The sequence below is a fragment of the Homo sapiens genome, chromosome 5 (genome assembly GCF_000001405.40).
Source record: "Homo sapiens chromosome 5, GRCh38.p14 Primary Assembly".
NCBI classification, from domain to species: domain Eukaryota; kingdom Metazoa; phylum Chordata; class Mammalia; order Primates; family Hominidae; genus Homo; species Homo sapiens.
The window spans coordinates 141338342-141359236 of NC_000005.10; the positions used below are offsets into that span (position 1 = coordinate 141338342).

The window sequence follows — 20895 nt, forward strand, 5'->3', positions numbered from 1 at the left end:
AATGCAAAGCCATCAACCATAAACGTTCAAAATATATAACCTTAGAAGAAAACGTAGCTAACGTTTCTTAATTGATCTTACTGCTTCTGATTATACAATAAGAGATGGAAGATGTTTGGAGCAAGGGCAGTGGTGGCATTGATTAATGCCTTGAGCAGTCAATAATACTTTCCTAGCAACTATTATCAAGATCATGTTCATTTATACCATTCTTATTAATCCTGATAAAAAGATTCCTGTTTTGAAAGATCTAATTCTAGGGTATCTTAGAGCTGTAAGATTCTTTAAAGCGCCTTGAAAGTCAACAAAGGCAAACAAACAAGAAGTAACTTAGGTTTTCCTGAGCAGGTGCAGAAATTATTTAGGCCTCTGAGCGTCGCTGTTGACCACCTAAGGAGTAAAAGGCAGCGAGACATCCAATCCAGCAATACGGCTCCCACAGCACAAGGGGGTGGAGGTTTGGCCCTAAAGCTTCAGGACACCAAAGAAATTCAGTCGAACAGCCCACCAGTTCTCTCCATAGGGACCTGGGTCCCGTGAATGCTGGTTATCTCACACCCTGAGGAATAAAGATTGGAATCCGCACTGGATGCTGGAAGTTGACTCGGAGAAAATTGCGACAGGAGGGAAATGGCGGCTCTGCAAAAGTTGCCACACTGCAGAAAGCTGGTCCTGCTGTGCTTCCTTTTGGCGACCCTGTGGGAGGCCAGGGCCGGGCAGATTCGCTATTCTGTGCGGGAAGAGATCGACAGAGGCTCCTTCGTAGGCAACATCGCCAAGGACTTGGGTTTGGAGCCCCTGGCACTGGCAGAGCAGGGAGTCCGCATCGTCTCCAGAGGTAGGTCCCAGCTCTTTGCTCTGAACCCGCGAAGCGGCAGCTTGGTCACTGCGAACAGGATAGACCGGGAGGAGCTCTGCGCTCAGAGCGCACCCTGTCTGTTGAATTTTAACATTCTGCTGGAGGATAAATTGACTATTTATTCAGTAGAGGTGGAAATAACAGATATTAACGATAATGCCCCTCGCTTTGGAGTAGAGGAACTGGAGCTAAAAATCAGTGAAACCACTACGCCAGGATTCCGGATTCCTCTTAAGAATGCGCATGATGCAGACGTAGGTGAGAACGCCCTTCAGAAGTACGCACTCAACCCAAATGACCACTTCTCCCTGGACGTGCGAAGGGGAGCTGATGGGAACAAGTACCCAGAACTGGTGCTGGAGCGCTCTCTGGACCGCGAGGAAGAGGCTGTTCACCACCTCGTTCTCGTGGCTTCTGATGGGGGTGACCCAGTGCTATCTGGCACCTCCCGCATCTGCGTGAAGGTCCTGGATGCGAACGACAATGCGCCTGTTTTTACACAGCCCGAGTACCGCATAAGCATTCCGGAGAATACGCTCGTGGGCACCCGGATACTCACGGTGACCGCCACTGACGCAGATGAGGGCTACTACGCTCAAGTGGTATATTTTCTAGAGAAAAGCCCTGGAGAAACCTCAGAGGTATTTGAGCTTAAGTCAACATCTGGAGAACTGACAATCATAAAAGATCTAGATTATGAGGATGCTACATTCCATGAAATTGATATTGAAGCTCAGGATGGTCCGGGCCTTCTAACCAGAGCGAAGGTTATCGTCACGGTTCTGGATGTGAATGACAATGCCCCAGAATTTTACATGACATCTGCTACTAGCTCAGTTTCTGAAGACTCTCTTCCAGGAACCATAATTGGGCTTTTTAATGTACATGATAGAGACTCTGGGCAGAACGCATTCACCACCTGTTCACTCCCCGAGGATCTTCCTTTTAAGTTAGAAAAGTCAGTAGACAATTACTACCGACTGGTTACAACCAGAGCCCTTGACAGGGAACAGTTTTCCTTTTACAACATCACTCTAACCGCTAAAGATGGAGGGAACCCCTCCCTGTCCACGGATGCTCACATTTTGCTCCAGGTGGCAGACATCAACGACAACGCACCCGCCTTCTCCCGCACATCCTACTCCACCTACATTCCCGAAAACAACCCCAGAGGAGCCTCTGTCTTCTCAGTGACGGCCCATGACCCCGACAGCAACGACAATGCTCATGTAACTTACTCTTTCGCGGAGGACACTGTTCAGGGGGCACCCTTATCCTCTTACATCTCTATCAACTCCGACACTGGAGTACTCTATGCACTGCGCTCCTTTGATTATGAGCAGTTGCGAGACTTGCAAGTGTGGGTGATAGCGCGGGACAGCGGGAACCCTCCACTCAGTAGCAATGTATCATTAAGCCTGTTCGTGCTGGACCAGAACGACAACGCGCCCGAGATCCTGTACCCTGCCTTCCCCACAGACGGTTCCACTGGCGTGGAGCTGGCGCCCCGCTCCGCAGAGCCCGGCTACCTGGTGACCAAGGTGGTGGCGGTGGACAGAGACTCGGGCCAGAACGCCTGGCTGTCTTACCACCTGCTCAAGGCCAGCGAGCCGGGACTCTTCTCGGTGGGTCTGCACACGGGCGAGGTGCGCACGGCGCGAGCCCTGCTGGACAGAGACGCGCTCAAGCAGAGCCTCGTGGTGGCCATCCAGGACCACGGCCAGCCCCCTCTCTCCGCCACTGTCACGCTCACCGTGGCCGTGGCCGACAGGATCCCCGACATCCTGGCCGACCTGGGCAGCCTCGAGCCCTCCGCCATACCCAACGATTCGGACCTCACTCTGTACCTGGTGGTGGCGGTGGCCGCGGTCTCCTGCGTCTTCCTGGCCTTCGTCATCGTGTTGCTGGCGCACAGGCTGCGGCGCTGGCACAAGTCACGCCTGCTGCAGGCTTCAGGAGGCAGCTTGACAGGCATGCAGAGCTCGCACTTTGTGGGCGTGGACGGGGTTCGGGCTTTCCTGCAGACCTATTCCCACGAGGTCTCCCTCACTGCGGACTCGCGGAAGAGCCACCTGATTTTCCCCCAGCCCAACTATGCGGACACGCTCATCAGCCAGGAGAGCTGTGAGAAAAAGGATTTTTTATCAGCGCCTCAATCTCTACTCGAAGAAGAAAGAGAAGAAACGTTTTCTCAGGTAATCTATCTTTTCACAACATACGTACTAGCTAGTTTGCTGAAGTAATTCACTTACTTGTTTACTATATCTATTTTGTTCCCCATATTTCCTTGAGGGTAGAGTCAAGTTTTAGGAAGTGAGTCTTGGTGAATTATTTCTTGGTAGGTCTTAGTGTTCACAGGCTGTAAGAGGAAGAAGAGACGTGAGAATCTTTGTGCAATGAATGTAAACCAGGAGTTAATAGATAAGATTATCCAAAGAGCACTGCATTAGGAACTAGGGTGTCTGGTTTCTTATACTTTCTTCTCCATCCCTGGGCAAATCATCTCATCCACCCAGATCAACAATTTTTTCTTTGTTAAAAATATAAAGATTGGAGTTTATGTTTACTCAAGTCCTTTCTTCTTTTAAGTTATGACTCTTACTCTATATTTGAATCTGTATATGAACAGTGAAACATGTTAGTTGGCTAGTTCTTTCTCATTCAGTCTTAATACATTTCTTTCAGTTTGGCAGCAAAATTGTTTTCCTTAACTTGCATGCCCTTCCCTGTTAAAAATATGGAAATTTAGAAATATACATTCCTTACAGTGTTTCAGGAAGGTATGTCATATTATTTTGGCTTAGTTTTAAAAATCACATTAACCTCTAAGCTATATGCTTCTTGAAGAAGTGACTGACTTATCATCTGCTCTATAATAAAGCTGTAGAGTGGTAATAAACAGGTTTCTCCTTTTTTTTTATCTTTCTCATACGTGGGAACCATACTGTATTTTAATCTTTAAAATAATATATATCCTCAATATAGTTTTGCTTAAAGAAAAGATACAAAAGATTCATATCATACAATTGCCCAGAACCAACTTCTTTATACATCTCTCTTCTCAAGGTTTCTACTCACAATAGCTGCTAGAAATGTTCCCAATCCCTCACCCAATCCCAGTGCCCCTCTGATCAATTTTCTTTTCCCATTCCTCTTCCTATATTGGCTTTTAGTATGTTGGTTATGTATTTAATAACAGAGAATAATAAGCACACTAATGTTCTATGTAACTGGCATCATTTTTTATTTTTATTTGAAAATTATCATGTACCAATTGAGCCTTTTATTGAATGATACCATATTTCTCAAAGTGCTGTGATTCTTTCCGTTGCATTTGATCAAGAAAAAATTTTCTGAGACAAGGTGTTGTTTTGGTTACTATTACATAATTGTCTATGAGTAAAATTGGAACTCACTGTGGAATAATATGTCATAATAGCTTTACTTGTAAGTGAATAATAAAGTATAAACAGGAAAATTAAAGCAAAGTTATTTTTAGTGTGTGTAGTAACTCCACAAGAATAAATGTCTTATGCATAGATATGTAATGCATCATGATTGAAACGACAAATATATTGTATTTATATTTCTGTGCTTGGAAACTTATGGGGAAAGAGATTCTGGAACATAAAAGCTTATTTCTACTAGTTTCAGTTGGTTTTGAAAAAACATCCTTACAGTCTAGATTTAAACAAAGGAAACTTCTTTCAGTACCCTGAAGGTCTGTGATTTCTCTCTCACACCTAGGCATTGTCATGCTGTTCTCTCCCACATCCAGGCCTTTTCACTGATCCACTCCTCTCATGTTTCCTGGGAAAGCGTTTGCTAACATTAAAGGCCCAATTGAAGGCCCCCCTAACCCCCTTGGCTTCTCCCATTATGGTAATTATCTCAGTACACTGCAATTCCCTGTTTGCTTTTATATCCTTATAATCTCTGTGAAGGAAGCTACTGTGTCTATATTGTTCACCTTAAATCCCCAAACATATTGTCTGATGCCTAATTATGTGTTTGTTTAATGAATATTAAATAACAACAAATATCGAAACTAAGTTATCAGGTCACCAAGAACAAACTTAAAGAAATATAATGTATAAATATGGCTGATTTCTGTGTGTTTCTTTTCTTTTTTTCCTTGTCTCAGCTCTTAGAGAGTTAAGAGTATAGAGAGGGAAAGGTCAAAGAGGAGGTGGATATCTTATCAAATAACCCTGATAAATGTAGTAAGTATAAGAATAAACACATTATCAAGGTTCAGTGGTGGAAGAACAAGTGGTGGTCATGTCTTTTAATAGTTGTGTTGGTCCTTACGGCCAGTTCTTTGTTACTGTGTGTTTCTTAAACTGAACAATTCAAAAAAGTTAACTCCACTATGTTTGAAGCAATATTGGTGGCATTAAGGTTAGTGCATGGATTCCCAAGAAAGATAACTTGAGGTGACACTGTTTAACATATATCGATTCAATTATGTTCAATCAACACTAGTCCTCTTATCTCTGACAAGAAGGATTTCAGATCTTGGATAATTCAAAAATAATAATGTGTCTGAGAGGATGCAGTAAACGGTTAGGCCTCTTAGTGTCGCTGTTGACCACTCAAGAAGGAGAACGCAGCTGGAGAACTAGTCCACCATTTCCTTGCTCCTAAAATGCAAAGAACCAGCAAATCAGACTCAGAAGATCCGGGGCGGCTGCCAACCTCACCTCTTAGTCAACCAGCTGTTTGACCTGTGAATTAGGCCCGTAAAAGACTTCGTTTCTTGAGAAAATAAGATTGGAGTCCGTCGTAGGAAACTGGAACCGAATTCAGAGAAAGCGATTCACCGAAAAGGAAATGACCAATTGCCTGAGTTTCCGAAATGGCAGAGGACTGGCCCTGCTGTGCGCGCTCCTGGGGACGCTGTGCGAAACAGGATCCGGTCAGATCCGCTACTCGGTGTCTGAGGAGCTAGATAAAGGTTCCTTCGTGGGCAACATCGCTAACGACCTGGGGCTAGAGCCCCGGGAGCTGGCGGAGCGCGGAGTCCGCATCGTCTCCAGAGGTAGGACGCAGCTTTTCTCTCTGAATCCGCAAAGCGGCAGCTTGGTCACCGCGGAGAGGATAGACCGGGAGGAGCTCTGCGCTCAGATCCCGCTGTGTCTGGTAAAAATTAACATTCTGGTTGAGGATAAATTGAAAATTTTTGAAGTAGAAATAGAAATTAAAGATATTAATGATAATGCTCCTAATTTCCCAACAGAGGAATTGGAAATAAAAATTGGTGAACTAACGGTTCCTGGAACCCGATTTCCAATTAAAACTGCTTTTGACCCAGATGTAGGCATTAACTCCCTGCAGAACTACAAGCTTAGCCCCAATGACTACTTCTCTCTGGCTGTGAATAGCGTCTCTGAGGGGGCCAAGTATCCAGAGCTGGTGCTGGAGCGGGCCCTGGACCGTGAGAAAAAAGAAATTCACCAGCTTGTCCTGGTTGCCTCTGATGGTGGCGACCCTGTCCACTCTGGCAACTTGCACATCCAAGTGATAGTCCTGGATGCAAATGACAACCCACCAATGTTTACTCAGCCTGAGTACCGTGTGAGTGTTTGGGAGAACGTGCCTGTGGGTACCCGGCTGCTCACGGTGAATGCCACTGACCCTGACGAGGGATTCAATGCTCAAGTGTCTTATATTCTAGATAAAATGCCTGGGAAAATCGCTGAGATTTTCCATCTTAACTCAGTGAGTGGAGAAGTATCAATATTAAAAAGTCTAGATTATGAGGATGCCATGTTCTATGAAATTAAAATTGAAGCACAGGATGGACCAGGTCTTCTTTCAAGAGCCAAGATTCTAGTCACGGTTCTGGATGTGAATGACAATGCTCCAGAAATTACAATCACGTCTCTCACAAGCTCAGTCCCAGAAGAGGGCACCGTTGGAAGAGAAATTGCTCTTATCGACGTGCATGACCGAGATTCTGGGCAGAATGGGCAGGTTGAAGTTTTTGTCCTGGGAAATCTGCCATTTAAGTTAGAAAAATCAATAGATCAATATTACCGCTTAGTGACGGCCACATCCCTGGACCGCGAACAAATATCAGAATATAACATTAGTCTGAGAGCCTCAGATGGGGGAAGCCCGCCACTGTCCACAGAAACTCACATCACCCTGCATGTGATTGACATCAATGACAACCCACCCACCTTCCCTCATTTATCCTACTCCGCCTACATTCCAGAAAACAACCCCAGAGGAGCCTCCATCTTCTCAGTGACAGCCCAGGACCCAGATAGCAACAACAACGCCCGCATCACTTATGCATTGACCGAGGACACTCTCCAGGGGGCGCCCCTGTCCTCCTTCGTCTCTATCAACTCCAACACTGGCGTCCTATACGCGCTGAGATCCTTCGACTACGAGCAATTTAGAGACTTAAAGCTACTGGTGACAGCCAGCGACAGCGGGAACCCTCCACTCAGCAGCAACGTGTCGCTGAACCTGTTCGTGCTGGACCAGAACGACAACGCGCCCGAGATCCTGTACCCCGCCCTCCCCACAGACGGTTCCACTGGCGTGGAGCTGGCGCCTCGCTCCGCAGAGCCCGGCTACCTGGTGACCAAGGTGGTGGCGGTGGACAGAGACTCGGGCCAGAACGCCTGGCTGTCCTACCGCCTGCTCAAGGCCAGCGAGCCGGGACTCTTCTCGGTGGGTCTGCACACGGGCGAGGTGCGCACGGCGCGAGCCCTGCTGGACAGAGACGCGCTCAAGCAGAGCCTCGTGGTGGCCGTCCAGGACCACGGCCAGCCCCCTCTCTCCGCCACTGTCACGCTCACCGTGGCCGTGGCCGACAGGATCCCCGACATCCTGGCCGACCTGGGCAGCCTCGAGCCCTCCGCCAAACCCAACGATTCGGACCTCACTCTGTACCTGGTGGTGGCGGTGGCCGCGGTCTCCTGCGTCTTCCTGGCCTTCGTCATCGTGCTGCTGGCGCTCAGGCTGCGGCGCTGGCACAAGTCACGCCTGCTGCAGGCTTCGGGAGGCGGCTTGGCGAGTACGCCCGGCTCGCACTTTGTGGGCGCGGACGGGGTTCGGGCTTTCCTGCAGACCTATTCCCACGAGGTCTCCCTCACTGCGGACTCGCGGAAGAGCCACCTGATTTTCCCCCAGCCCAACTATGCGGACACGCTCATCAGCCAGGAGAGCTGTGAGAAAAGCGAGCCTCTTCTGATAACTCAGGATTTACTTGAAATGAAAGGAGATTCCAACCTACTTCAGGTGAGTTTATTTATTTCTTTGATTATTAAGAACAAATATGAGAATGTGGTTATTATAAAGCTTTAACACATATGTATTTGAGAAATAAAGCCATGAGGTTGTCATTAGTCCTTTGACTAAATATTTGTCCCCCTTTCTTTCTGGGCCTATAGTAGGACTGCACTCCCCGGTCTGGTTATGGTTGAGTGGGCTTAGGGAAAAAATAATACATCGTGAGTGAAAGTAAAGTGTCACTTCCTAGAGGAATCTGCCACTGTGAGAATTTTCAGATCTCTAAGTTACTATTTGAAATTGTGACTGCTCCTTCTACCTGGGTCCTTGAGTAACTATGATGAGAGAAACACAACACTGGTTTGTATACCTGTGATAAATAGGCCTTTTTCATTTTAAATCCCTGTGCTTTGGAGTTTGTCATTCCAACCTGTATAGCTTATCCTGATACATACAAGTAAAAATACATATGAATAAAAGATATTTTATGCCCATGAAATTAAATGATGTTTGACTCCTTCCAAGACAGGTGACACTCTTTTTTTCTTTCTCCTTCCTTCCTTCCTCTCTCTTTCCTCCTTCCTTCCTTCCTCTCTCTCTTTCCTCCTTCCTTCCTTCCTTCCTCTCTCTCTTTCCTCCTTCCTTCCTTCCTCTCTCTCTTTCCTCCTTCCTTCCTTCCTCTGTTTCTCTCTTTCTTTCTTTCTTTCTTTCTTTCTTTCTTTCTTTCTTTCTTGACAGGGTCTTACTCTGTCTGGAGTGCAGTGGCATGATCACGGCTCACTGCAGCCTTGACCTCGCAGACTCAAGTGATCCTCCCACCTCAGCCTCCCGAGTAGCTGGGACTACAGGCACGAGCCACCCTCCCAGCTAATTTGTTTTTGTTTTTGTAGAGATGGGGCAATTGCTATGTTTCCCAGGCTGGTCTGAAATTCCTGAGCTCAAGTGATCTGCCCACGTCAGCCTCCCAAAGTACTGCGATTAGAGGCATGAGCCACCATGCCTGGCCTGTTATTCTTTTCATCTCAATAACATAAAAATTGGAGAACAAAAATGTAGAGGCTGGGTGCAGTGGCTCATGCTGTAATCCCAGCACTTTGGGAGGCTGAGGCAGGTGGATCACTTGAAGTCAGGAGTTCAAGAACACCCTGGCCAACATGGTGAAAGCCTGTCTCTACTAAAAATACAAAAATTAGCTGGGCATGGTGGTGGGCGCCTGTAATCCAAGCTACTTGGGAAGCTGAGGCAGAAGAATTGCTTAAACCCAGGAGGCAGAAGTTGCAGAGAGCCAAAATTGGGCCACTGCACTCCAGCTGGGGCAATAGAGAGAGACTCCATCTCAAAAAAAAAAAAAAAGTAGAGGCTGGTCAAATGGTTTTACCTATAGTGCCTGTTACATATGCCTAATGTATATGCTTATGTGTGTATTCATTTTGATTTCAACATTTTGCCTGAGGGTGGAAAGCTCACCTAGCTAAATTATTATGAGCCTTGGAGTGGTATTTCTTGTCCTTGAGAAGGACATCAAAAACATGTAAAGGAATATGTCTCAGCCTCTGCGGGAGATTTCCAGACAATCTCTTCCAACAATGGAATAGAAGTCCCTTCTTTTGTCATGTTCTACAACTTTCTTGAGCCAGAAATTGTTGGCTTATTCTGCAATTTATGAAATTATTTTCACTCATGAAATCATATGAGAGTTATCCAAAATTAGACCAAAATATGTTTTATTAGAACTCAAACAAAAGAATAGATTCCTCCCTCAATATATTAGGAAAAGGCACATTTAAATGTATGAGACAACAGGGCCAGAACACAAAAGCTGTAAGCAGAGTAAGGTGTATTCTCACTGAAACATGGAAATACATCACAGAATTTAAAAGGCCCATAGCCAGGGGAGGACTTCTGAGCCTAGGACTTTGAGACCTACTTGGGCAACATAGCATGACCCTGTCTCAAAAGAAAAAGGCACGTAACTTTTAACATATCATTTTTAGAAAAAAAAATGTTTATAGTATTAGTATCACTTTCCCTGTAAGGAGAAAAAAAATTAATTAGCTGTGTCAGGGGAAATTTGGATGCTCAAAGATAATTTCTAAGAATTCTATATGAAACATAGCCTACATATGTGTCATGAAAATACACTGAGAGTATGGAACCCATACAATTCCACCTACTTGTACAGGTAATGGAAGGTCTCAGACATCCCATTTTCACTAAAAAGGATTTATTTTTATTTTTTTGAAGAATGGGCAAGAATCCACTACAACAGAAAGGGAGGAGAAGTTCATAGTAAAAGGAATGGAAAGTATAAAGGCATGATGCAAGGAAACAAGTGAAAAGGTATCTTAAGAAAACAGATAATAGGCTGTTTCGAATAGAGTATGAGTATGGGTGAGCACTGCAAAATAGTAGAATAAATTGTTGAGTTGGATCTCATTTGGTAATGCATTTGAAATAAAGGGATTTGCTTTGAACCAAGACTGGTTCTAAGCCTGGAACTACAGAATAAGTTCCAAAATTGGGTGTCTAAGAACTCTGAATACCTCTCCAATATTTACCAGTGGTCAAGTCAAACTCGTTTTGCTCATTAATGGTATAAGTCGGCTGGAGCTGAGAATTGGCATTATAGAGAATGTTTTTGAGACAGAGTCTTGCTCTGTCACCCAGGATGGACTTCAGTGGCATGATCTCAACTCACTGCAACCTCTGCCTCCTGAGTTAAGTGATTCTGCTGCCTCAACCTCCCGAGTAGCTGGCGTTACAGGTACCCGCCACCATGCCTGGATAATTTTTATTTTTTTTAGTAGAGATGGCTTGCACCATGTTGGACAGGCTAGTCTCAAACTCCTGACCTCATGTGTTCTTCCCACCTTGGCCTCCCAAAGTGCTGGGATCACAGGTCACTGCACCCAGCCTAGAGTATTTAATATACATTCATATAAAAAAGAAGCACTGGTTTCATAAAACAAATGTACATTATATGAGATTCCACTTCATAAAAGCATGTATGTGTACCCCAACACTAAATTGGCCCTTTTAACAAAATATCAGACTTTGTCCTACTTAACTGGAAAGATTATCTATATTTTATAAAGAAGAGAAATAACATAATAGTAAGGCTGTGATTTCCTCTTTTTTGCAAAAACTATTTTTGAAAAGTATTACTGAATTGATAACATATATATGGAGAGATTTAAAATACTAGATAAGGGAGCTTATTCCAATGAATTTACAGAAAGGTAGGTATTTTAGTCAACTAAAAATATAAATAAAAATTATCAATTCACTTATTTGGATACAGCAGTCATGCCAGAGTTTATAAATATAGTGAAATCACTGAAGATTTTTTTTTACCCCCAAAACTGAAAAAAATGGCAGTGTACCTTGTGAATTTTTTAAATGAAAAAAGAATACGAAATGATGAAGGCCCTTATCTGATGATGACAAACTAGAAAACTGAAATGTAAAGGGGAAAATGTGAGTATGTGTTTCCCTCCAGCAAATTAAAGACAGGGTACATAGATTCAAGAGGTTGCGCTTTGAGGATAAAAAGCTGGGCCCTGTGCAGTTTTCCAAGACAACCTCTGGGCGCCGCTGTCGACCAAAAGGAAGTGAAGGCTTCTCAATTCTGCAGGAGCGTCAGGCAGGGTGCCTTCCTGCTTTGTCCGGTGCACTGAGCACAGACGCTGCTCCTGTTCACCCTCGAGCGCCTAACTAATAAGTCCTAAGCTCAAATCACAGAAGTCCAGGGTGCTGCCATTTCTTTTTGAAAAACATCCCAGAGGAAAGAAGCTCCGCGGAGAGTTCCTGAAATGCAGAGAGCCAGAGAAGCCGAAATGATGAAAAGTCAGGTACTGTTTCCCTTCCTGCTGTCTTTGTTCTGCGGGGCCATCTCCCAGCAGATCCGATACACGATTCCAGAGGAGCTAGCCAACGGCTCACGGGTGGGGAAACTTGCCAAGGATCTGGGGCTCAGTGTCCGGGAGTTGCCAACTCGAAAACTGCGGGTTAGTGCAGAGGATTATTTCAACGTTAGTTTGGAGAGCGGGGATTTGTTAGTGAACGGTAGGATAGATCGAGAGAAGATTTGCGGAAGGAAACTTGAGTGTGCACTAGAATTCGAAACGGTCGCTGAAAACCCAATGAATGTTTTCCACGTGGTTGTTGTAATCCAAGATATTAATGACAATGCACCACGTTTCGTTGCAAAAGGCATTGACTTAGAAATTTGTGAGTCAGCCTTACCCGGGGTAAAATTCTCTCTGGATTCTGCTCAAGATGCAGATGTGGAAGGCAATTCACTGAAGTTATACACCATCAACCCCAATCAATACTTCTCTCTGTCAACGAAGGAAAGTCCTGATGGAAGTAAATATCCGGTATTACTGCTGGAAAAACCTCTAGACAGGGAACATCAGAGCTCTCATCGCTTAATCCTGACTGCCATGGATGGCGGGGACCCGCCTCTAAGCGGCACCACCCATATCTGGATCCGAGTTACGGATGCCAATGATAATGCTCCCGTGTTTAGCCAGGAGGTATACAGGGTTAGCCTCCAAGAAAACGTACCGTGGGGAACCTCCGTGCTGCGGGTGATGGCCACAGACCAGGATGAGGGCATTAATGCAGAGATCACCTATGCCTTCCTCAATTCCCCAATAAGTACCAGCCTCTTCAATCTCAATCCAAATACTGGCGACATCACAACCAATGGCACATTGGATTTTGAAGAGACAAGTAGATATGTGTTGAGTGTGGAAGCTAAGGATGGAGGAGTACACACAGCTCACTGTAATGTTCAAATAGAAATTGTTGACGAGAATGACAATGCCCCAGAGGTGACATTCATGTCCTTCTCTAACCAGATTCCAGAGGATTCAGACCTTGGAACTGTAATAGCCCTCATAAAAGTGCGAGACAAGGATTCTGGGCAAAATGGCATGGTGACATGCTATACTCAGGAAGAAGTTCCTTTCAAATTAGAATCCACCTCGAAGAATTATTACAAGCTGGTGATTGCTGGAGCCCTAAACCGGGAGCAGACAGCAGACTACAACGTCACAATCATAGCCACCGACAAGGGCAAACCAGCCCTTTCCTCCAGGACAAGCATCACCCTGCACATCTCCGACATCAACGACAATGCACCTGTTTTCCATCAGGCCTCCTATGTGGTCCACGTGTCTGAGAACAACCCACCTGGCGCCTCCATTGCACAAGTAAGCGCCTCCGACCCGGATTTGGGACCCAACGGCAGAGTCTCCTACTCTATTCTGGCCAGTGACCTGGAGCCGCGGGAGCTGTTGTCCTACGTGTCCGTGAGCCCGCAGAGCGGGGTGGTGTTCGCGCAGCGCGCCTTCGACCACGAGCAGCTGCGCGCCTTCGAGCTCACACTGCAGGCCAGGGACCAGGGCTCCCCCGCGCTCAGCGCCAACGTGAGCCTGCGCGTGTTGGTGGGCGACCTCAATGACAATGCGCCACGGGTGCTGTACCCCGCGCTGGGGCCTGATGGCTCCGCCCTCTTCGATATGGTGCCACGCGCCGCAGAGCCCGGCTACCTGGTGACCAAGGTGGTGGCGGTGGACGCAGACTCAGGACACAACGCTTGGCTGTCCTACCACGTGCTGCAGGCCAGCGAGCCCGGGCTCTTCAGCCTGGGGTTGCGCACGGGTGAGGTGCGCACAGCGCGTGCCTTGGGCGACAGGGACGCGGCCCGCCAGCGCCTGCTGGTCGCTGTGCGTGATGGAGGACAGCCGCCACTCTCCGCCACCGCCACGCTGCACCTAATCTTCGCGGATAGCCTGCAAGAGGTATTGCCAGACCTCAGCGACCGCCCTGAGCCCTCTGACCCCCAGACGGAACTGCAGTTTTACCTGGTTGTGGCCTTGGCCTTGATCTCAGTGCTCTTTCTCCTCGCGGTGATTCTAGCGATCGCCCTGCGCCTGCGACGTTCCTCCAGCCTCGACACTGAGGGCTGCTTTCAAACCGGTCTCTGCTCCAAGTCTGGGCCCGGGGTTCCTCCCAACCACAGCGAGGGGACTTTGCCCTATTCCTACAATCTATGTATTGCCTCTCATTCTGCAAAGACAGAGTTTAATTCTCTCAACCTGACACCGGAAATGGCTCCCCCTCAGGATCTGCTGTGTGATGATCCTTCTATGGTTGTATGTGCCAGTAATGAAGATCACAAAATCGCTTATGACCCTTCTTTGTCTTCGCACGTGAGTTTCTGCAAATCTAGTTAAATTTTATATATGGCGGCCGGGCGCGGTGGCTCAAGCCTGTAATCCCAGCACTTAACCAGGCTGAGGCAGGTGGATCACTTGAGGTCAGGAGTTTGAGACCAGCATAGCCAAGATGGTAAAACCCGGTCTACTAAAATTACAAAAATTAGTTGGGTGTGGTGGCACGCGCCTGTAGTCCCAGTTACTCAGGAAGCTGAGACAGGAGGATCGCTTGAGCCCGGGAGGTGGAGATTGTAGTGAGCCAAGAGTGTGCCACTGCACTCCAGCCTGGGTGATGGGAGGGAAACTGTCTAAAAAAACAAACAAACAAAAATTATATATTGCATTTTCTTCTCATTGGTGTATAAGTAATTTTGATTTTCTTTCATTGTTCTAGTGATGGTATCTACTGCGGGAGGGGGTACTAGATAGATGGAGATTGCTTTCTTGATTGCTCAGTAGTCTTGGCAATTTAATTTTCAATCTTTACTGTTGGCATTTCTGTATGGTTGGCAAATCTTGCTAAAGAGACCTGTTTCCTAGATGTTAACACTTAGTAATAGCAGTGCCTTTTCTTAGTTGATATGCAATACTATATTTTCAAGTCATTTTATTCTTAGCTCTTTATAAATGTATTTAGAGTTCTTCCCACCCAAGTTAAAGTTCATCAATTACATTAATTATGTAATTGATGTAATTATGTATTAATGTAATTATGTAATTAATGTAATCTTCATCAATTACATTCTAGTTTGTCTTTTTGCAGCAACATGTATGTTTAATACAGCCTTCCAATTATTAAGACTCTTAACACTTTGTCTCATCACAAGTAGCAAATATTGTCCAATTTTATATTTGCATCACTAACTTTGAGTCAATATTATTCCCACTCTATAATTTCAGTCAATGATATTTCATAATTTTCTTAACCATTCCTAAATTATTTGTTTTTATGCTCTTTCTATTTTGTCTCTATTAAAACAAAGAATGTAATGAACATTTGGGTTTATAAAGCGTTTTCCATACTTCTTGTTTCTTTAGTGTAGATTTCTGAGGAATTAGTTAAATCTATAAACATGTTGAGATTTTTTTAATGCATACTGTCAAATTTATTTCCAAACATCTTATTTCACCTCTCAATCATCCGCAGTTTGTGCGGTCTTTGAGGATTGTGAAAAACACGTTTAATCTACTCTCTCAAAGTCTGAGGGTTTTTAAATTCTGTATAGCTAATGCCCTTTTGTATGAGTCATTTCTACTGCTAATTGTTAAGTGAGGAATAAGCTTAAGAACTGATGTACTGCTTTATCTCAAATTTTCACAGATTAGTAAATTACTGTAAGTATTCATAAGAAAGAAAGCGATGGCACATGCAATGATAATCCATGTTCGGCTACCAAAACATTTCCTTTTACTGGCTATTTCTAAAATGAGAGCTAAAGTAAAGTTAGAAATTGTAAAATAATACTGAATGTGTCATGTGAAAAAATCACTAAACTATTATCTGCACTTTATAGTTATTCAGTCTAACTTTTCTTTTTATTTCTTTTTTATTTTTAAGATCAGAGTTATTTACCCATTGTTTTAGGCTTTGCATTTGAACTGGTCATTCATGAAACATTGAAAGGTTTCATAAAAATTACTACTCTATGAAAGGTATTGTTCTAAAGATTGAGAACACATTGTGAACAAGATAGTCATATGCATAGCTTGTGGCCAAGAATCTACTGTACACAAAATTAAGGAGCAAATTCTCTTCCCAAACCTATTATCCTATTTGTCAATCTCATTTGTACAGGGTAAGGCTAACTCTTGAACAGTAGGTGAGTTTTTTGCAAGGGAATTGAAGCATTGCCCCAGGTTCTAGAGGGTCAACTCCTGTGAGGAAACTTGTTACTGCATAAATTGGGACTAAAGCCAGACCTCCAAGTTCCTGTCCCACTGTCTTTTCACTTATCTGTCTCATCCATTTTTCAAGTCCACCTTTGTCTTTAGGAGAGATAATTATGTCCCTCACACAATACGCTATACTGAGAATGGGCTGTGGGGATGAACAATGTGAAAACTGAAAAGAGGAAGAACACATCTTAGGAAAAAAATCGTCATATTTTCTCTAAGAAAATAAATAACTTCATAAAGTTTATTGTACAGGAAGACTTGGATCATTCTTGAATTTTCATTGCAAATCAAAAACAGGAATTTGACTTTATTATCTTGGGAGAAATAGGAATAGAAAAGTGTATAAAAAATAAACTTTTTTTAACCAAGAATAAATTGCAGTAACAGGTTAAGACTCTGGGTGTCGCTGTTCACCAATCAGGGGGAAAAGACAAACCAGAAATTTAATCAGAATCACAAGATTTCTGCAGCACAAAGCACTGGCTCTGGAGCTTTATGAAAGCTTCAAGCGGAAGCCCTGAGAGCTCTGGCTGTGAATGCACTTTATTTTGGACCCAGAAGATCCTGGGGCTCCTCAGGCCTCGACAGAGGGAAAACCGAAGCACAGGCGACTCCGCGGCGGGGTTGTAATGGCGGCGCCTCCTGCTCGCCCAGACCACACCCGGCTGCTCCAGATCTGCCTTCTCCTGGGGGTTCTGGTGGAAATCAGGGCCGAACAGATTCTCTACTCGGTGTTTGAGGAGCAGGAAGAAGGCTCAGTGGTGGGCAACATCGCCAAGGACCTGGGGTTGGCGCCCCGGGAGCTGGCGGAGCGCGGAGTCCGCATCGTCTCCAGAGGTAGGACGCAGCTTTTCGCCCTGAACCCGCGCAGCGGCACCTTGGTCACCGCGGGTAGGATAGACAGGGAGGAGCTCTGCGACAGATCTCCAAACTGTGTGACAAACCTGGAGATTCTTCTAGAAGATACAGTGAAGATTTTGCGGGTAGAGGTGGAAATAATCGATGTTAATGATAACCCACCCAGTTTTGGGACAGAACAGAGGGAAATAAAAGTTGCTGAAAATGAAAATCCTGGGGCAAGATTTCCTCTTCCTGAAGCTTTTGATCCGGATGTAGGTGTAAACTCCCTGCAGGGTTACCAGCTCAACTCAAACGGTTACTTTTCCCTGGACGTGCAAAGTGGGGCCGATGGGATTAAGTACCCAGAGCTGGTGCTGGAACGCGCTCTAGATCGCGAGGAAGAGGCGGTTCACCACCTCGTTCTCACGGCCTTCGATGGAGGTGACCCGGTTCGCTCTGGCACTGCCAGGATTCTCATAATACTTGTGGATACCAACGATAATGCTCCCGTGTTCACTCAGCCCGAGTACCACGTAAGTGTTCGTGAGAACGTTCCTGTAGGCACTCGGCTACTCACCGTAAAAGCCACTGATCCAGATGAAGGAGCCAATGGAGACGTGACGTATTCTTTCCGGAAAGTAAGAGACAAAATATCACAGCTATTTCAGTTGAATTCTCTGAGTGGGGATATAACAATATTGGGGGGTCTAGATTATGAGGACTCTGGATTCTATGACATAGATGTAGAAGCCCATGATGGGCCTGGTCTCCGAGCTAGAAGCAAGGTACTGGTGACAGTTCTGGATGAAAATGACAACGCACCAGAAGTCACAGTTACATCTCTCACCAGCTCAGTCCAGGAATCTTCTTCCCCGGGTACAGTAATTGCACTTTTCAACGTGCATGACAGTGACTCAGGAGGAAATGGCCTAGTCACATGTTCTATTCCAGATAATCTGCCATTCACACTTGAAAAGACCTATGGAAATTATTATCGGTTGTTGACACACAGAACACTGGACAGGGAAGAAGTCTCAGAATATAACATCACTGTAACTGCCACTGACCAGGGAACTCCTCCACTGTCTACAGAAACTCATATTTCACTGCAAGTGATGGACATCAATGACAACCCACCCACTTTCCCTCATGCTTCCTACTCTGCTTACATTCCTGAAAACAACCCCAGAGGAGCCTCCATCTTATCTATGACTGCTCAAGACCCTGACAGTGGTGACAATGCCCGAATCACTTACTCCCTGGCCGAAGACACCTTCCAGGGTGCACCTCTGTCCTCCTATGTCTCCATCAACTCCAATACAGGGATCCTATATGCTCTTTGCTCCTTCGACTATGAGCAGTTTAGAGACCTGCAGCTGCTGATGACAGCCAGTGACAGTGGAGACCCTCCACTCAGCAGCAATGTGTCACTGAGCCTCTTTGTGCTGGACCAGAACGACAATGTCCCTGAGATCCTGTACCCCACCTTCCCTACTGATGGCTCCACTGGTGTGGAGCTGGCACCCCGCTCCGCAGATTCCGGCTACCTGGTGACCAAAGTGGTGGCAGTGGACAGAGACTCAGGTCAGAATGCCTGGCTGTCCTACAGCCTACTCAAGTCCAGCGAGCCGGGACTATTTGCAGTGGGGCTGCACACAGGCGAGGTGCGCACCGCACGGGCCCTGCTGGACAGAGACGCGCTCAAGCAGAGGCTTGTAGTGGTCGTCCAGGACCATGGCCAGCCCCCTCTCTCGGCCACCGTCACACTCACTGTGGCTGTGGCCGACAGCATCCCAGATGTCCTGGCTGACTTGGGCAGCCTCAAGCCTTCAGCAGACCCAGACGACTCGGGCCTCACACTCTATCTCGTGGTGGCAGTGGCCGCTGTCTCCTGCGTCTTCCTGGCTTTTGTCACGGTGCTGCTAGCACTCAAGCTGAGACGCTGGCACAAGTCACGCCTGCTTCACGCTGAAGGCAGCAGGTTGGCAGGTGTGCCTGCCTCGCACTTTGTGGGCGTGGACGGGGTTCGGGCTTTCCTGCAGACCTATTCCCACGAGGTCTCCCTCACCGCGGACTCGCGGAAGAGTCACCTGATCTTCTCCCAACCCAGCTATGCAGACACGCTCATCAGCCGGGAGAGTTGTGAGAAAAGCGAGCCTCTTCTGATAACTCAGGATTTACTTGAAACAAAAGGAGACCCTAATCTTCAGGTGAGTCAATCTTATAATAGATCATACCACACTGAAATATAGACAAAGAGTTGTGTAAATGTCTCTCATTTTATATGTAATATATCAAATAAAGTTGCCTCTTTTAATATTTTATTGCTTTAAAGAAAACTGGTGGATGACCTTCCAATAATGATCAACAGTATTTACCACACAAAAATGTTGTTTATTACTTATCCTTTTTGGTCTTCATTCAGTTGTAGTTTCAGCCAGAATTTTCTAATTTTACAACTCTGAGCCACCTCATTTCCTTAAATTTCCTTTTCTGTGCTGGGTGTGGTGGCTCACACCTGTAATCCTAACACTTTGGGAGTGTGAGGAGGACGGATTGCCTGAGCTCAGGAGTTCGAGACCAGTCTGGGCAACATGGTGAAACCCAGTCTCTACTAAAATACAAAAAGTTAGCTAGGCGTGGTGGTGTGTGCCCGTAGTCCCAGCTACCCTGGAGGCTGAGGCATGAGAATTGCTTGAACCTGGGAGGCAGAGGTTGCAATGAGCTGAGATCATGACACTGTACTCCAGCCTGGGCAACAGAGCAAGCCTCTGTCTCCAAAAAGTAAAATAAAATAAAGTAAAATAAAGAATAAATTTCCTTTTCTCTTAGGTGTTCCTGAAAAGATACAAGAGACCTGTAAAATAGAAGGCAATTGTGTAAATTCACATTTACAATATTCTTTCTCATGAAGCTATTGTTGGATCTGGACTGAGGGTTTTTTAATTTCCTATTTTCACACTCTACCATGCTTTGCTTGAAGTTTACTTTTCCTTCCTTGAAAGGGTATTTTCCATTATAACAGGCAACGTCAATTTAAGAATACTGGCAATTTGTGAGTTTAACTTTTAGATATAACTTTAACAGGATATTTTCTCAATGAACTGGTATATTTCAAATATTTTCTTGTTGCTGTTCTGAGATGCACCAGAAGTGACTATGTGTGATTCCTCTGGTGCACTCCTGTGATTATGAGAAATATTTCCAAGCTAATTTCAGTCATATATAAGTAGATTCTAGGAGTAACTTTAATAATTTTTAAATTGCTTATCATGACATCACTATTGAGACTTTCTTGATTTCCAAGGAAAATATAAGTTTTTGGAGTCTTTTCTCTTGTCATCATGTGAGCCTCTTTCAAAGGTTGAGTTACTTGGGTTCTGGACTGATATGATTTACGCTGCTTAGTAAGGTGGCCTCATCCCTATTGCTACAAATTGCTTTCAGATATTTCTGTCATCATGTGGCTCTGGGATTATTTTATATGAGGGAAAATATTTTGTGTGTAGGGGATATACAACACTTTTGTTCTTTGTGCTTTCATTTAGGTTCTGTGAGAATTCAAAATTCATGAATGCATATGCTTACACAAATTAGTGTAATTTGATAACTGGAAGTTGTAGTGATAGACTGTGGAATATGCCTCAATTTGACTTACAAAGGAGAGTTTTAGTTTCTACATGGTTTTGTATTCATAGAAAGTTGTGGTGCAATACATAGAGTAAGCTGGAATATGATATGATGCAGTTACCTGGCTTGGGGAGCAGAAAGCAGAAATAACAAGTGAATGTTGAGAGACAACTTACATCTGAGGAGAGATTGTTT

General features: G+C 45.2%; 5 protein-coding genes and 1 further gene across 9 annotated transcripts in view; all 6 read left to right on the forward strand.

The window, feature by feature from the left end:
* PCDHGA1 (protocadherin gamma subfamily A, 1) overlaps positions 1-20895 on the forward strand; it is a 182462-nt gene that overhangs the window by 7828 nt on the left and 153739 nt on the right. The gene's annotated exons all lie outside the window — the stretch shown is intronic.
* Positions 1-20895, forward strand: part of PCDHG@ (protocadherin gamma cluster) — a 182295-nt gene that overhangs the window by 7657 nt on the left and 153743 nt on the right.
* PCDHGA2 (protocadherin gamma subfamily A, 2) overlaps positions 419-20895 on the forward strand; it is a 174216-nt gene continuing 153739 nt past the window's right edge. Inside the window, exon 1 of one of the 2 annotated variants that reach the window (NM_018915.4) lies at positions 419-3054. In NM_018915.4, the coding sequence (NP_061738.1) occupies positions 631-3054 (2424 nt within the window). In that variant the 5' untranslated portion in view covers positions 419-630. Of the gene's footprint in view, positions 4967-20895 lie in introns of those variants that run through there. The other variant, NM_032009.3, reaches the window with a different exon arrangement.
* Positions 5488-20895, forward strand: part of PCDHGA3 (protocadherin gamma subfamily A, 3) — a 169147-nt gene continuing 153739 nt past the window's right edge. The window contains exon 1 of one of the 2 annotated variants that reach the window (NM_018916.4): positions 5488-8116. In NM_018916.4, coding sequence (NP_061739.2) covers positions 5693-8116 — 2424 coding nt within the window. In that variant the 5' untranslated portion in view covers positions 5488-5692. Of the gene's footprint in view, positions 8607-20895 lie in introns of those variants that run through there. The other variant, NM_032011.2, reaches the window with a different exon arrangement.
* Positions 11758-20895, forward strand: part of PCDHGB1 (protocadherin gamma subfamily B, 1) — a 162877-nt gene continuing 153739 nt past the window's right edge. The window contains exon 1 of one of the 2 annotated variants that reach the window (NM_018922.3): positions 11758-14328. In NM_018922.3, coding sequence (NP_061745.1) covers positions 11920-14328 — 2409 coding nt within the window. In that variant the 5' untranslated portion in view covers positions 11758-11919. Of the gene's footprint in view, positions 14353-20895 lie in introns of those variants that run through there. The other variant, NM_032095.1, reaches the window with a different exon arrangement.
* The window catches only part of PCDHGA4 (protocadherin gamma subfamily A, 4), a 157955-nt gene continuing 153739 nt past the window's right edge, over positions 16680-20895 (forward strand). Inside the window, exon 1 of one of the 2 annotated variants that reach the window (NM_018917.4) lies at positions 16680-19280. In NM_018917.4, the coding sequence (NP_061740.2) occupies positions 16767-19280 (2514 nt within the window). In that variant the 5' untranslated portion in view covers positions 16680-16766. Of the gene's footprint in view, positions 19393-20895 lie in introns of those variants that run through there. The other variant, NM_032053.3, reaches the window with a different exon arrangement.